This window comes from Homo sapiens, chromosome 1 (genome assembly GCF_000001405.40).
Source record: "Homo sapiens chromosome 1, GRCh38.p14 Primary Assembly".
NCBI classification, from domain to species: Eukaryota; Metazoa; Chordata; class Mammalia; order Primates; family Hominidae; genus Homo; species Homo sapiens.
The window spans coordinates 169,583,454-169,599,670 of record NC_000001.11 but is presented as its reverse complement, the minus strand read 5'-3'; the positions used below and the strand labels follow the sequence as shown (position 1 = coordinate 169,599,670).

Sequence of the window (16,217 nt, the reverse complement as noted above, 5' to 3'; positions counted from 1 at the left end):
ACATTTATTATTCATACTATATCTTCTTTCCAGAAAATTATTGAGAAAACTCTATCAAACTCAAGTAAAATGATATAATGAAAGGAAACAGATAATTTACTAAATCTATTTGAAATAATATAAATCAATATGTTTAAGAATTCAGATGCAATCATGTATACTTTCTTGATGGACTATAGAAGAACACCAATGAATACCCATATGTGATAGAACTGCCTTGGTAGTCAGTGAAAATAGAACACTAAGCGTGCAATAAATGCAAACCTTATCTGTTTTCTATTTTTGTAATTATTCAGGAGTTTTTTTTTTTTTGCCAAAGTTTTAGAGTAGGCTCAAGAATATGACCACTTCTCAAAGTTATGCACAAAAGTCATTCCTGGGTATAACTCTTTTCCTGCATCTGCACTAATCTCCATTCCAGCAGCATCCTTGATAACTCCACAAATGTCATTCATCCCATGTTTGCTGAGTGCCCACCATATGCCGGATCTGGGTTAGGCTTCCATGTAACTCATCTAGGCTGCCCCTCAAACAGGTAAACCCACTTCTTTACATGATCCAGAGCCAAATTCTTAGTATGTAAGGGTCAAGGTTAATTTTTACCTGAGAGAGTTCAGAGACTTTTATAAATATGAAAGTCTGGATATGTAACCTTGGCTGAGCATGACTGATAAGACTGAAACCAAAGCACTATCCCCCAAATGAATTTAATGCTGTAGTAGTTCTCATTTTATACTAGGGCCCCCTTCGGTTAATTTTTAAAAACAGTAATTCCTCTTGTTTCTTTTCAAACCAGGTAGGCATACCTTTTAGAATGCATTTAAATTAAATTGTATTCATTACTGTATTCATTCAATTCATAAGTATTTGTAGAACCCCTCCTATGTGTCAGGCCCTGTTCTCTGGGATACAGTGTTCAAAGAACTGACAAGGTCCCTGCTTTCCTGCAGCTGACATTATACATATTCTTCAGTTTAAAGTTGTAATTCTGGGAGATTATGAAAAAGTTATTTTTGTGAAAATGTTCACAGATGACTTCATGTCTAGGAGTTACACCAGTAGACATGTTTCAAAAAGGTTTAGTAAATTGATTTGATGTGTCAGATATGAAGTTGTTAATTACTCAACAATTTGAGAGTACTGAACTGAAATTCACTGTGTTATTTTGGCTATTTGAATGGATTCATGCAATAAGAATCCATAATCCTTCAATGAATAGCTTGTTACTGAAAAATACATGGGCCAGTATGTAAAAGCCAAATACTGTACATTGGTTTTCCATGAGGGAGCATATAGGTCTTGAAGAGGTTTGTAAAAATCAAACTATCTAAGTAAATGAGACTTATCTGACCAAGGTATTGTTGTCAGAATAGCCTTAGATTTAAAGAAAGAATAGTCACTTCATTTGTCTATAACCCAACATTTATTGATAAATAATAGTCTTATATTAGAGAATTAATGGGGAGAAAAGAATAATGCTAAGAAAATATGTAACTGCAATAATTTGTAAAAATACTTTTGGGGGGAAATTGTGAATTAAAATTTAAATTCATTTATTCATTCACTTGGCAAGTGGTTACTGAGCACTGCCTCTTGAGATCCTGGGATGGGAGTTATGGAAGACTCAAGGATGAATCATTCTTGGGTTTTAGACACTTTCCCATCCAGTAGAAGAGTGAGGGTATGACATGGGACATGACAGCACATCAGTTCAGACAAAAAGTTGAAGAATTCAGAGGAGAAGAGTTCAGGCTGTGGTGATCAGCAGAGTCTTCAGAGACTTTACGAGTTAAATCCTGGAGGATTAGTGGGATTTTACGCCATAAAAGTGGAAAAATTCTCAGGGGAATGTGAGCCAAGAACCAGAAGCAATAACACACAAAGTCACTTCAGGGAATTCCAAGAAACTAATCTATCTTGACCAGGAGGTTTTGAGTTTTCCTGTGTTATCTGGATGGGTGGTATTAAAATACAACAGCAAAATAAACAAAACAATTAGTGAGGAGATTCAAATGGAAGAAATAGTTTGAGGCAGAAAGCAATCATTGCAGTTTTAGGTGTGTTGAATTTGAGAAGATGGCATGATATATGGGAGCAAGTAGTCTCAGGCAAGAGGAAGGGCGGAAATGAAATCCTGGATTGCACCCATTCAAGTAAGATAGAGGGAGCTGCGGCAGGCTACGAGGTCTCTGAAGCAGAGGGTGTAGAGAAAATAGGGTGACATTGTAAGTTCTTGAGTATGGCTGCCTAAATCTTTGACTTCTTTGTCTTCGTGACTTGTACCTATACTCTTCTCTGTAAGCTTACCATCCTCCCACTGCCCTTTGCAGCAAATGACCTACATGATATGTTGTGGAATGCTGCTGCCTAGCAAAATACCTGGAATATAGGTGCTTAATAAATATTTTTTGAATATATAAGTGAATGAACTTTGTGTAACACAGAACTTCTGAATAAACTTGGAGATTGTGACACTCTTAATTTGATACTCTAGCCATCAAGTGCCCAGAACTCTTTGCCCCAGAGCAGGGCAGCCTGGATTGTTCTGACACTCGTGGAGAATTCAATGTTGGCTCCACCTGCCATTTCTCTTGTGACAACGGCTTTAAGCTGGAGGGGCCCAATAATGTGGAATGCACAACTTCTGGAAGATGGTCAGCTACTCCACCAACCTGCAAAGGTAATAATATGTACTTGCTAAGACAGTTCTACTTTTGGAAATTTATTCTACAACAACAAACAATTATCTAGTTCTTATATGTGAACTAGATAATTGTATATATTACCATTATTTGGGTTTAGCAAACAGCTGAAGGATTTTAAAATGTCTAAGGAGTGACAGGATATTTTTATGTTTGTGAATAAAAGGTATATTGATTCTTAAGCAGGAATTTTGTTTCATGGCTTCTTTTTTTGAAAGAGCTTTGTTGAGTGAACGGAATGGTCTCCATTAATTTATTGCTGAGAGAAACAGACAATACTGGGGTAGAGTCACTGGTCCAGTTTTTCAAATCTAGGAATTGAGGTGCAGAGAGGTCAATCATCATCTTCCTGCCACATGGCAAGTTAATGACAAAGCTGGTGGGATCATTCAAATGGAAGAAATAGTTTGAGACAGAAAGCAATCATTGCAGTAAATTTCAACTTTCACATTGACCTTTAGTCAGAGAACAGTACCATTTCCCAATAAGGCAGGGTTGGGCAGGCAGTTGGCCCATGTATATTTGGCTTTCTGCTGAATTTCTTATATTTCTGTACCATTTCTTGCTTCTTTTTAAAATAGCAACAACAATGACTCCTCTGATTTCTTCTCTTGGCCAGGAGAATCATCTCCTCAAGGATGATTTTTAATAATTTTCCTCATCTGGTTTTCTATCTCTGACACTGATAGTTTTTCTTAACTTCCTTAAATAGCTCTTGCAGGAGCCTCCCTTGTTATGAAGGGAGTGAAAAGCAGTTATTCCAGATTAGCCTTAACTCTGTTAACGCTTCTTTTAATTGGGAGGTCTCTGAATGGAAACATTTTCTCACAACAGGCATAGCATCACTTCCTACTCCAGGGGTGCAATGTCCAGCCCTCACCACTCCTGGGCAGGGAACCATGTACTGTAGGCATCATCCGGGAACCTTTGGTTTTAATACCACTTGTTACTTTGGCTGCAACGCTGGATTCACACTCATAGGAGACAGCACTCTCAGCTGCAGACCTTCAGGACAATGGACAGCAGTAACTCCAGCATGCAGAGGTAAGGTGAAAAGGAGCAGGCAGTTCTGAACCTGCCTTCCTGCAAGTACTCAAGCTAGCCATTGTGCCTGTATGTTGAAGTCTCACCCAACCACAACCACTACTCCAAGTGTCATCTCCCTTATGAAATCCACACCAATCCCATTAGAAGTAATGTGTCACAGGCATTTCACTTCTGTCCTTCCTCATGTCACAAGCTAAAGCTAATACACAAGTACTCAGAGACTTAAAGGAAGAAACATTTGCAGATGTCCAAGATGTGTTAGAAAAATAGACATATTAAATGTAAAACCTGCTATAGAAATTGGTAAACTAGAAGTTGCATATTATGTGACAGTATAAACATTCCATATTTTCATAATAATTTGAACCTAAATAAAAAGTTAAGCCATACATGATATTTCCTGAAGAGCTATCGCCCTACACATAAAGCATTGAGACCTATGTTTCTTTCATTTTTGTATCCCCCACAAAACATAGCACAGTGCTTTGCAAATGTCACTACTGATAAATAACATTTATTTGAATTAAATCTAATTTCTTGACCTTTAATTTCCTATCCATAAATTAGAAAGAATAACCCTGAAGTTCCCTGAAAATGTAGTTTAAGGAGGATGACAGTCTACTTCTTTCAAACTTCCAGTGTCCAGATATGCTGAACACTTATTAAGTATTTCAATAAACACATACTGACATGCCAGTTGATCACAAATGTAGTAATAACATTTAGACTAACAGTATTTTAAGAACCAAAATTTTGTAAATAGTATATTTGGAGGCAAGATTTATCAATGCATTAGCAGGTATTTGTCGGATGCTACTATGTGTCCATCTTTGCATCTTGGTTCTTTGGATATCACCCTTCGAGAGAATATTTTCATATATGTGCTGTTAGAAGAGCTACTGTGAATATTGGAAGTGGCTCATATCCTTTCTGACCTTTTACATTCTGCCTCATTTATTGGCAATGTTAGGTTACAAAAGAAACTATAATCTCTTTCACCTCCAATCCACATGTTGTTTCTCTTGCATTATTTCTTTTCTGCAGCTGTGAAATGCTCAGAACTACATGTTAATAAGCCAATAGCGATGAACTGCTCCAACCTCTGGGGAAACTTCAGTTATGGATCAATCTGCTCTTTCCATTGTCTAGAGGGCCAGTTACTTAATGGCTCTGCACAAACAGCATGCCAAGAGAATGGCCACTGGTCAACTACCGTGCCAACCTGCCAAGGTACAATTTTCATGTGGGTTAAGAAGTCACTTTGATGTGGAAAATAACAAAATCAGTGTTTCTTCCCTGTGTCTTTCTCATAGTGGTCTTGCTTTCCATCCCCGGGTTTCCCCCTGCTTAATAAGTGTTTCACAATGAATCAGGCAGAATCTCCTTGCCTTATAAAGTAGTGGAAATTAAACCCAGTGACTGTGTAGGTAATCACCCCTCCTCTTCAGTGTTCAGTTTGTGAAATGAAACCTTTTGCTTCGTTATAATCTCTGTTTAACAGACCTTGAAGTTTCAAAATGTTTTAAACTGGGAGTTATTTCATGCAGATTTCTAATTTATTATCTCAGAAGACCTTTGCTTACCACCTAACTCTAAAAACCTCCTAGCAGATCTTCCTTAATTAAATTCCATCTGTTTGCAAGGTATATTTCAGCCCCCTATTTTTTCCCCTCATAGCTTGTCCTGACTGCCTTTTGTTACATAACTGAATCTTTGCCAAAAAATTATGCACAGTTTATTTTATTTGCCTAAACTTACATGTATAGGCTTCTTATGTCTACAATTTAATTTCTTTTATTGGGACCTTACCCTAATTCTTTTGGAAATTACAGTTTATATTTAAGTCTTAGGAATAAATTAAGGCCCCACTTTTATTTTATTTGCCCATACTTACATGTATAGGCTTCTTGTGTCTACAATTTAATTTCTTTTATTGGGTCCTCACCCTGATTCCTTTGGAAATTACAGTCTATATTTAAGCCTTAGGAATAAAATAAGGCCCCACTTCCCATTCTGTTGCAGTGGATTTATGAATTCCAGATCTTCTTTCATGTTAGCTTGTCAGCATTCCCAGGACCTTTGGTGATCCTACTTGATCGCACATCTTAGAGTTCTTGAAAACTTTCTGGGAGAGAAAGACTAGTCTTTTGCATAATACACTTCTTATGTCTTGCATGTGTGTGTGTTTGTTTTGTAGCAGGACCATTGACTATCCAGGAAGCCCTGACTTACTTTGGTGGAGCGGTGGCTTCTACGATAGGTCTGATAATGGGTGGGACGCTCCTGGCTTTGCTAAGAAAGCGTTTCAGACAAAAAGGTAAATAGGAAAGAGTCTTCTCTTTGCATCTTGGTTACATAAATCAAAAGAAATTGATTTATGTAATTTAGGGTGGGGAGGCAAAAACCACAACTTCAGTAGTTCATGTTGGAAAACATTTGCATTAAAAGAAAATAAAGCCAAGATAAGTGATCTTGAGAACTGATTGTCCATTAGAATCACCTAGGGAACTTCCTAAAAATATAGATCCTTCTATGGGGAGACTTGGTAGTGGGTGTGGAAATCTGAATTTTTCAAAAGCTCTCTCCCAAAATTCAAATGAGGCTACTTTGCAGTTTTGCATTTGGGGCCTCTGGTCTAAGTACCCTAGGCTATCACTAAAGCTAATTAGAAAGGTGTTATGCTTCCTGACTTCACTCATTTCTTCATGTAGCAGTCATTTATTCATCAACTCTGTTAGAGTGTGAGACTCATAATGATGGTTTCTGATATTAAGGAAGGAAAAATCCAGTAGGGGAGACAGGTGAAATCAGTGCCGGTAGTGAAGTGTAGTAAGTGTGTTAGGACACAAATACAACCTAGGTATTATTAGAACATAGACTAGGGATGCCTAAACCAGACTGGCAGGTCAGAAAGCCTTTTTCAAGCTTAGCTTTGAAGAATGAGAGGCATTTAGCCAAGGGGAAAATGGAAATAGAGTTCCATCAGAGAAAATGGCATGTAGAAAGACATGAAAGTGTAAAATCAATGAGAAGATGGTATGTTTCGCAGTTCAGTGCATCTGAATCAAAAGGGGATTATGGAGGAGGCAGGAGATGAAGTTAGGGGCAGAAGAAGCTGCCCCTGTATTGGTGACCTGGTGTGATAAGCTAAGAGATTTGCTTTTTCTCCTGAAAATTTGTAAAGTTGATGCAGGATTTAAACAGAGAAGACCAAATAGATGAAAACTCTCTGTAAGGGAAACTGTGTTCATCAGACTGTTCATCAGAAAAAGAACTTTAGTCTAGGAATTAAAGATGGGAACATCCCATCTCTTAAGGTTTAAAACATCCTTTCTCAATCTTCTCCAGACACTTAGCCTGCCTATAAGTTCATAAAGTTTTGTTTATAACCTAATGGGGCTCTTCTTCATCACTCCTCATAGAAAGTAACTGGGGGCATCAGAGAGACCATTAATTGCTCAAATCAAGGTAATGGAAAGTGGCTATGTTAAAATATCTGAAAGAGATCTCATTGAATTTCTCTATTGTTGACATAGGTCTCAACACCTATTCTTAACTGCTCAGAGGCAAAACCACGTGTTCCTTACTCTTATTCTTTCTCCATTTACAATGCTACCAAAACATTGAGGCTGTTTTTCCAAATTTCCTTCATATACTCTCCTGTGAGTGGCTAAGACAATAGACAAAGGTCAATACTCTGCTTCAATACCAAAGAGATGTACTGAGAGCTACAGTGAATCCCTCCATGCAAAATGTGTGCTTGCTCAACCAAACCCAGAAGGCAGAGGCAAGAGCTCCTAGACCTTAATCTCTATGATCATGTAGGAATCACTCTAATCTTGATGTTTCCCCCAAGTCCTTTCTTTGACTTTGAGACATTTCCAGAGGACCCTCTAACAGTGGAGAAGGACAAATGGCCACTCATGCCCCAATATTTTTAATAATAAATACATTCATTTGTTGGGGATGGGAGCTTTTTTCCTCAGCTTCTCCCAATTTGATTTTAGGCTTTGAAGTTTTCTATGGCCAAATAAGAGGAAAATGCTGCAGCCATAGCTGAAAATTCAACTATGAGAGTCTGTTATTTGGATAAAAATATGCTACCAGGGAGGAAAAACATCCACTGTTCTGTTGGTTTGGATTCATGTATGTGATTAGCTTGCTCAGCTAAGGGCTGAGGGCAAGTGACACAAGATGCCCTCAAAAGAAATTGATTTATGTATTTACTGAAAGGAAGGAGGAAGAAAGTGACAGGACTCTGGAGTTAAATATTGTCGAATGTTTAATTTAGCCTAAAACACTTTCTACCTTTCAGGGAGAAACTGTTCCCAATATTCCCCTTATAATGAGCCCTCCTGAAAATCAGTCTACTGGTTTTCCCCAGTAATTTCTATCCTTAATGACCCTCTCTTTCATCTTGTTTTTTTTTTTTAATCATTCATTCTTGTCTTCTTGCTGATTTTAGATGATGGGAAATGCCCCTTGAATCCTCACAGGTAAGGTAGAAATGTTTTATGATTGAGTAAATTTTGCTACCTTAACTTTATAATTCACTGTAATATGTCAGAATGATTACATGCAATGCCTGCCTCCTTTTTACAATGTCTTTTGCAATGTCTTCTTTTCTACTCTGAAGTAAAATACACAGATAACAAATATTCTAATTAAAATATAAAGTAGGAATAAAATGAAAAGTAATTTATAATAAAAACAAGATGCAAAAACTTAGGCGCTGTGCCAGTAGATGCAATGAGGTCATCAGAAGCGTGCACCTTCCACAGAATCACTAGGAAAGCAACGCCCACGCAGGTGGACTGATGGGGGAATGTTGTATTAGTGACTCAAAGAGCATTAGAACTGTGGCCAACACCAGCCTAATTTTTCAACATGGTGAACAACTCCGGTAAAGAGTCTGAAAACCTGTGATAATTGTCCTTTGATTCATATGGCAATTGCATTTTAAAGATGCAAAAAAATGCTTAATATTTACATGTAAAGTGCTTGAGTTCCAGGCTCAGAGATTTTTAACCTGTATGAATATCGAGCAGATATTCCAAAGTTATGTGGGATGTTGGACAATTCTTTTGTGTCCTGTACCCCTTGCTATTTATAATCTAGCAATAGTTTTCAAAAAGGGACAGTATGCCCCCAAGGGTATTTTTTTATTTTTGTAATGAACAAGAGTTCTACTGACATTGAGTGGGCAGGAGGCAGGGGTGCTGGATATCTTTTAAAGACATTTCCGTCCTGGAGGACATGGAAATCCTTATATGAACTCTATTGTCGTAGACATCCAGCACCCTTGCCCCATACCCACTCAATATCGGAAGAACTCTTGGTTATAAAAATCAAAAAACACCCCTAGGGGTCATATTGCACCCTTTGAAAACTATCGTTAGATTATCAAGTGTTAATGCCAAGAATTTTGTAACTACCTCTTGTCACCTAGAAGAGGTTGCAGCAACTTAGAGGGTATAACAGGTATTCAGTACATAAAGCATGAACAATAACTTAGTGTGGGTGCAAAATGCAATGCAAATTACCCAGAGCTGGTAAGTGGGATATCGAATATTTCTTTGGCATTTATTTTTCTTTCCTTTCTAAAGCAGAATTCCAAGGGTGGATGGTAATTTGTGGTTTCTGGAAATACTATGTGTTGGACTGTGTTGTCGAGAACTAAGCAGTATATTGTTGCCATCCTTGTGTTTCTGTTCTTTAGCCACCTAGGAACATATGGAGTTTTTACAAACGCTGCATTTGACCCGAGTCCTTAAGGTAAGATCCCTATAAAGATATTTTTGAAGGAAATAGAACACTAGGGAAAAATGGAAGACTATAAAGCTTAACTTTTCTTTACATAATCATATATTAAATTTTAAGTATGTATTAAATTTTCAGGCATGAAGGAAATTGTGTTGGCAGTAGGACACAGGTATGACAATGGAGTTACAAAAGAGTTCACAAAAGGATTTTCATTTCCTCCAGGACAGAAATGTCCTAACAAGACATAACTTATTTCAGGATGTGTAACATTTCCATTATTAACTGCTAGGTGGTGATGATGTGGCCTTGCCTGCAAAGCAGAAGTCAGGACTGCTGAAAAATGTTTACGAACTGTTATGGAGTCAATTCCCTATGCTACCTGCTGGAAAAACAAAAATAATCTGATGCTATCCCTCTCCCAAAAAGTGGGTAGTTGAGTGTCCTACAAAAAGCCTGAATGGCAGAATATTCGAAATCTAGAAAGAAAAGATTATGCTGCGCCTCAGGGTGTAGATATGATGAGCAATTTTTTTCTTTCTTTTATTTTTTTAAGGAAATGATAATTATTTAAATTTCTTTGGTCTCATTTCCAGAGACCTGTCCTTTTCCTGGTCTCCTCATTCAGCCTCCATATGATCCTGTTGTGAACATCAAGTTTCCTGCTACACTGGACTTAACTATAATGCATTTGCTGCAGGTTTCCATAAACACCCATGAATCAAAGACATGGAATTACCTTAGATTAGCTCTGGACCAGCCTGTTGGACCCGCTCTGGACCAACCCTGTTTCCTGAGTTTGGGATTGTGGTACAATCTCAAATTCTCAACCTACCACCCCTTCCTGTCCCACCTCTTCTCTTCCTGTAACACAAGCCACAGAAGCCAGGAGCAAATGTTTCTGCAGTAGTCTCTGTGCTTTGACTCACCTGTTACTTGAAATACCAGTGAACCAAAGAGACTGGAGCATCTGACTCACAAGAAGACCAGACTGTGGAGAAATAAAAATACCTCTTTATTTTTTGATTGAAGGAAGGTTTTCTCCACTTTGTTGGAAAGCAGGTGGCATCTCTAATTGGAAGAAATTCCTGTAGCATCTTCTGGAGTCTCCAGTGGTTGCTGTTGATGAGGCCTCTTGGACCTCTGCTCTGAGGCTTCCAGAGAGTCCTCTGGATGGCACCAGAGGCTGCAGAAGGCCAAGAATCAAGCTAGAAGGCCACATGTCACCGTGGACCTTCCTGCCACCAGTCACTGTCCCTCAAATGACCCAAAGACCAATATTCAAATGCGTAATTAAAAGAATTTTCCCCAAATGCCGTGTTCCTCTATTTTATGGTTTGTTCAGTAAGGTCTGTATACATCACATTGTTTACCATCAGTGTAATAACACACAATTATGGTTGTCCTATTTACACCTCAACCATTCATTCAGTCAGCAAATATGTATCGCACACCCTACACTGCAAGAGAAAATCAGAGAAATGGAAAAATTCTTCATCACCTTAATATTTTACAGGGAAGAACAAATGTGTTTTACATGTTCTTTAAATCCCATGTTTAATAAATAGGTCATTGAAAGTTATATAGTATTTATCTGGAACTGATGTTAAAAAAAATAGAGAGCCAAAAATTATAGTAGTCATCTTGTCTCTGTAAAATGTAATTAAATAAATATGTCATGTACACTGTATATACATAAGCAAACATGCAAATAAAAAAGCAGCCTACTCAAAGGTTACAATAATGTTGCAACAATTCTGGTAGTAACCTTGGGATTTAGGGACACAGTGCTTTCAAAACGTTTCTCTGATACACTGCCAGTAGCATCTCTGACTGCTTATTTAAATGTCAATCAGTAGGCTAGGTGTTCTAGGACTTTGGTCTCAACCCTGTTTCCTGAGTCAGAATCTACATTTTGTAAAAGTTCCCCTGGGAATTCTGATGGTCTGCCAACTTTGGGAGACACTGATAATATTGTAGATAAAGAAGTGTAAGCAACTGTTCAGTTAGGGAGACAATAGATACCTGCATGGAATAACAAAAGGTAATTAACATGATTATATAATTTGAATAGTGTTGTAATAGTTCATAAAATGGAAAAGCCAATTTGAGCCCAGAATCTGGGAGATAGGCAGAACTCTGGACTGTAAAGAATGGCCCAGCAAAGAGGAAGAAAATGGGCATTCTAAGTTGGTGCAATAATATCAGCACAGGAGAAAAGACAGAATATTGGGGGGAGTGGGGAGGGAGGAAGAGGCTGTTGATGAGCCTGATATCATTAACAGAGACCTCATGTGAGGTGCCAGATTACAATTTATTGAATGTACTGAATGCATAAAGCATAAGACAGAAACCTGGAGCCATGCAGATACAGGGAACCCAGGACAAGTCATTATGATGCCTCAGACAATATAATTCGCAGATTCTCTATCAATAGCAAAGTAAGATTTAAGGTGCTGTGAAACAGTCAGATCCTTCAAGAAAAACAAGAATACAAGGGGTCCTGGAGACAGGAAAATATGATCATAATAATAAATTTGTGATTCCTTCTTTCTCTCTTTTTCTCTTTCTTTCTTTTTCTTTCTTTCTTTTTTTTTTTTGATGGAGTTTTGCTCTCGTTGCCCAGGCTGGAGTAAAATGGCATGATATCAGCTCACTGCAAACTCCACCTTCCAGGTTCAAGCAATTCTCTTGCCTCAATCTCTCGAGTAGGTGGGATTACAGGTGTCCACCACAACGCCCGGCTAATTTTTTATATTTTTAGTAGAGAAGGGTTTCACCATGTTGGCCAGGCTGGTCTTGAACTCCTGACCTCAGGTGATTCACCCGCCTTGGCCTCCCAAAGTACTGGGATTACAGGCGTGAGCCACTGCGCCTAGCCTCTGTGTGTTAAGTGCTGGAACTATAGTTTACAGTAGCATTTTATCCTCCCAACATACCCTATCAGGAAAAATTATTATTGTCATCCTTATTTCACAGATGTCAAAACTGAACAGAGAGGTACAGTAACTTGCCCAAGACAACACAGCTAGTAAGTGAAACTGAAATCTGGACAACTGATTTTTTTCAGCCAAGCTCTTCAAGCCCGCTGCTATGCTGCAGCTTAGCTGGCGACAGGCCCTTATCAAGGCAGAACTGTGCCTTGATAGAGGCCAGGAAGGCGATTCAGAGCAGTAGGCCTTGTCCATGTGTTTGTTCCCTGCTTCTTCACCACTTGAAAATAGTGTTTCAGTGCCCAGTAACAGGGCACAATACTCTTTTCCTCAGATTAAAAGGGGAGCCATCTGCTTAAGGTGGTTGGGTGCCACTGCACTGCACAGAAGGTTCTCCAAGTGTGAGCTTGGACCCAGGCAGGCCTCAGGTCAGTGGTAACGGACGACTGCTTCCGTGGTGTTGGCAGGTGGAAATGGAGGGATACAGCTTTGTCCGGCTCATGAATCCCTGGGCATTGTCCCGCCTGCTAGAGCCTCTGATCTCTGCCCCTTCTTCACCTGCAGTAAAACAGTCACTAGTTTGGTTGCTCTCCCTAATACCTCTGGTCACTGGGAGCTGTGATCTCACCAAACCCCTGCCAGGAAAAGCCCCAGAAAAAGCGGAGGGAGTGAGAGCCAGAGGCTGCTGCTGCCGTTTGCAAGAACTGCAGGGGAGGAGGACGCTGCCACCCACAGCCTCTAGAGCTCATTGCAGCTGGGACAGCCCGGAGTGTGGTTAGCAGCTCGGCAAGCGCTGCCCAGGTCCTGGGGTGGTGGCAGCCAGCGGGAGCAGGAAAGGAAGCATGTTCCCAGGCTGCCCACGCCTCTGGGTCCTGGTGGTCTTGGGCACCAGCTGGGTAGGCTGGGGGAGCCAAGGGACAGAAGCGGCACAGCTAAGGCAGTTCTACGTGGCTGCTCAGGGCATCAGTTGGAGCTACCGACCTGAGCCCACAAACTCAAGGTAACTCAGGTGTGGAGTCCGGGTGGGCTTCTCTAGAGAGGAAAATCTATTTCTTTTAGAGAACATTCCCTTTGCAATGTCATGGCTTTTTTTTTTTTTAACTTCAGGTAAGTAAATATAACTAATAGGAGAGTATACTGAATTAAATAAACTGGGCAAATGCTAATTTTGCATCCAACAATGTAGTTTATCATTCTGAGGGTTTAGAAAGCACCCTATTTGATTGGTTAGATGCTACCTTCTTTTCAAGTTTATTTTCAATACAGTTTTGTTAGTATGTTTGTGTTGGCTTATATATTGGTTAATTCAAAGGCACCAGGCACTTGCTCCCTCATTAGCCCTTCCTGCAAACTCCTGTTCCAGATTTTTAGTTGTATAGTATTTTTATGAGACTCCTAGTTACATATTATTTATTCCATTGTCTACATAGCTTCATCTTCTAAAACTAAAAATGAACACCTTGTGCTTTTTGTCATATAATTTTATTGCTGCCTTATAAATGACTTTCAAAATATCATCAGTTCTTGTATGTTTTTGTACTTTCACCTTTTTTCTGCTTCATATTTGACTTATTTATCCTATTGAATGTGACTCTTCATTTTTTTTTCTCTCTGTTCATCATGTCCTGGGATATGGTTTACCTTGGCTACTTAAAGGCATATGTAACTGAGAGGAGGTTTAATTCAGATAAAATACTATCCTTGAGTTGCAAACTATTTTTTCTAATTGAAATGTTAAAAATAAGACTTCTCAGAAATTAACTAAATCATACAGTCTATTCAATATTTCCAGTTAGTTATTTTTTAAATGGTAAACCTGCTAGTGTGACTCACTTTTTTTCCTTACATCACACTTCATTATGAAAGATGTGTTCCTCTTTTACAATTACAAAACCAAAGTAATCTGCCAAAAAATAATGTAATATTTTGAGATCTTTTAGTGTATAATATTAACCTTTTTAAAACTCTCATTGTAACTGGGTTATTTTGGAGGGTATTACATACCATCTTGGTCTTATAATAAGAAGAGATCCCTCCTTCTCAAAAATAATCATTTTAAATATCGTACTTCAAAGTGATAATCTAGGTCACACCCACACCCTTTGGGAACTGCCGTAAGCTAAAACCCCAAGGAAAATAACAGTCCTTCTAACACTAATCTTGCCTGCTCATGAGTAGAATGCAGACTTGGTTGTTGGCTTTCTTGTAGCATGCTGGGTTCATGCTTGGGAGTTTTTTCTCTTGTCTGTAGTTAGCGTTGAAAATAACAAGCAAAATACCGGAGGCAGAACCAGATAGGGCAAAGGTCTGATTCACATGGTGAGTACACAGGGAACCATGACTGGTCATTCTGTCCCCTCATCCTGTGGGTAAGTTTCCAAAGTTCTGGAGATTCGTTCCTCTGGTAGGAATTGTTGAGTCAAAACCATAGAAACACAACCCAGACAAACTGTCATATTGTTTAACCCTAAATCATATCATTTCTCTCTAGCATTTTCTTATGAAAAATCTAATCCATATATCTGGCTGCTTAAACTAAGAACTTGTTCTAACTTGTCCTGCCCCTAGAGCTATGATACTCACTAGGTGAATATCAACATAGCCAACTCCATCTTTTGGCAAAGTGTATTTTAGCACAAAGCAGACATCTATCTACTTATTTCATATAATATTAGCAGGACAATGCCTTTTAAAGGTAAAATGTATCTATTATTCTTGCTCCAAGTCTAAGGTGAACACTTTCAAAAATTTCCTTAGAAAACTTGTTTAGTCACTCACATGTATACAAAGAGATATTGAAGAAAAGATATACATACATTTTCCTTCTAGGGTTCTAGCTTTATATGATTTTGTGATTATGAACAAATCATCTTTAAACAATCCTTATAAATGAAAAACTCGTCGTACACATTGTTTGAATTCATATGATCTGTAACTTTTTAATCAGATAGATTATTTTCCAATAGAAATTGTTCAGATCAAAATAGACATACCTCAGTATGAATACACAGCATACATAGTAAAAACATGTTAGGAAACATCTCTCTGTTGAAATTACTCCACGTAAGAGACTGATATTTTTTAGTAAAGATTTTACACCATCATCTACATTTCTGTATTAAAGATCTGGGGCAGGGGAGGACAATAACTTTTCAATTGTACTAAAAATAAATAAATAAAAATGGACTTCCACATTAGGGACATTAGTATATAGAATCCTGGAATTCTTAAGTTAGAAGAATGCTAAGAGTTCATTTAATTCATATTCAACTTCCACGCTTTAACCTTCTACTTTTCCCCTTTCCCTCAGCACCAATGACCTTACCAAGTAGTTGTCTAATTTCTACTTGAATGCTTCCAGTGATGGAGAATCCACTACCTTCTCTATCTAGCTATTCTAAAAGTACTTACGTGCCTCCTTTAATTCTGCCCCCACATATTAACACAGTTTCTGTATTCCACATATTACAATTTGTGAGCATTACTGTAACTACAGATTTGTTTTTGCTTTCTGAGAAAACCTGAAGGGTAAAGACTAACTCTTATTACATTTACAAAATAATATTACTAGCTAACATGGATTGAGTATTTCTAGTGTGCCAGCTCTATGCCTTTTGCACATATCAACTTATTTAAAATTATACAACAATTCTGTGAAGGAGATTTCAGTATTAATCTCATTTCATAGTTGTAGAAACTGAGGCACAAATGGATGAAGTAAACTTTTCAAAGTAAAACAATAAGAGGTAGATATAGGCTTCAAGTCCAGAGATAC

The 16,217-nt window shown here is 38.3% G+C and overlaps 2 protein-coding genes across 8 annotated transcripts in view, besides 2 other annotated features; both read left to right on the top strand.

Annotated features, from left to right (window-relative positions):
• The window catches only part of SELP (selectin P), a 41,276-nt gene extending 30,454 nt beyond the window's left edge, over positions 1-10,822 (top strand). For 2 of the 7 annotated variants that reach the window (XM_047427583.1, NM_003005.4), the window contains 7 exons: positions 2,495-2,680; positions 3,537-3,746; positions 4,794-4,979; positions 5,947-6,066; positions 8,215-8,245; positions 9,469-9,524; positions 10,210-10,822. In XM_047427583.1, coding sequence (XP_047283539.1) covers positions 2,495-2,680; positions 3,537-3,746; positions 4,794-4,979; positions 5,947-6,066; positions 8,215-8,245; positions 9,469-9,523 — 788 coding nt within the window. In that variant the 3' untranslated portion in view covers position 9,524; positions 10,210-10,822. Of the gene's footprint in view, positions 1-2,494; positions 2,681-3,536; positions 3,747-4,793; positions 4,980-5,946; positions 6,067-8,214; positions 8,246-9,468; positions 9,525-9,801 lie in introns of all 7 variants that reach the window. The other 5 variants (XM_005245440.3, XM_005245435.3, XM_005245436.5 and 2 more) reach the window with 4 other exon arrangements.
• Positions 12,715-13,214: an enhancer, noted in NCBI's record as "H3K4me1 hESC enhancer chr1:169555695-169556194 (GRCh37/hg19 assembly coordinates)". NCBI's record gives its function as "activates a minimal SCP1, AML or CMV promoter by ChIP-STARR-seq in naive H9 embryonic stem cells {active_cell/tissue: H9 hESC(naive)}" and the evidence as "EXISTENCE:reporter gene assay evidence [ECO:0000049][PMID:30033119]".
• F5 (coagulation factor V) overlaps positions 13,190-16,217 on the top strand; it is a 74,531-nt gene continuing 71,503 nt past the window's right edge. Inside the window, exon 1 of the mRNA NM_000130.5 lies at positions 13,190-13,442. Coding sequence (NP_000121.2) covers positions 13,285-13,442 — 158 coding nt within the window. The 5' untranslated portion in view covers positions 13,190-13,284. The remainder of the gene's footprint in view (positions 13,443-16,217) is intronic.
• Positions 13,215-13,716: an enhancer, noted in NCBI's record as "H3K4me1 hESC enhancer chr1:169555193-169555694 (GRCh37/hg19 assembly coordinates)". NCBI's record gives its function as "activates a minimal SCP1, AML or CMV promoter by ChIP-STARR-seq in naive H9 embryonic stem cells {active_cell/tissue: H9 hESC(naive)}" and the evidence as "EXISTENCE:reporter gene assay evidence [ECO:0000049][PMID:30033119]".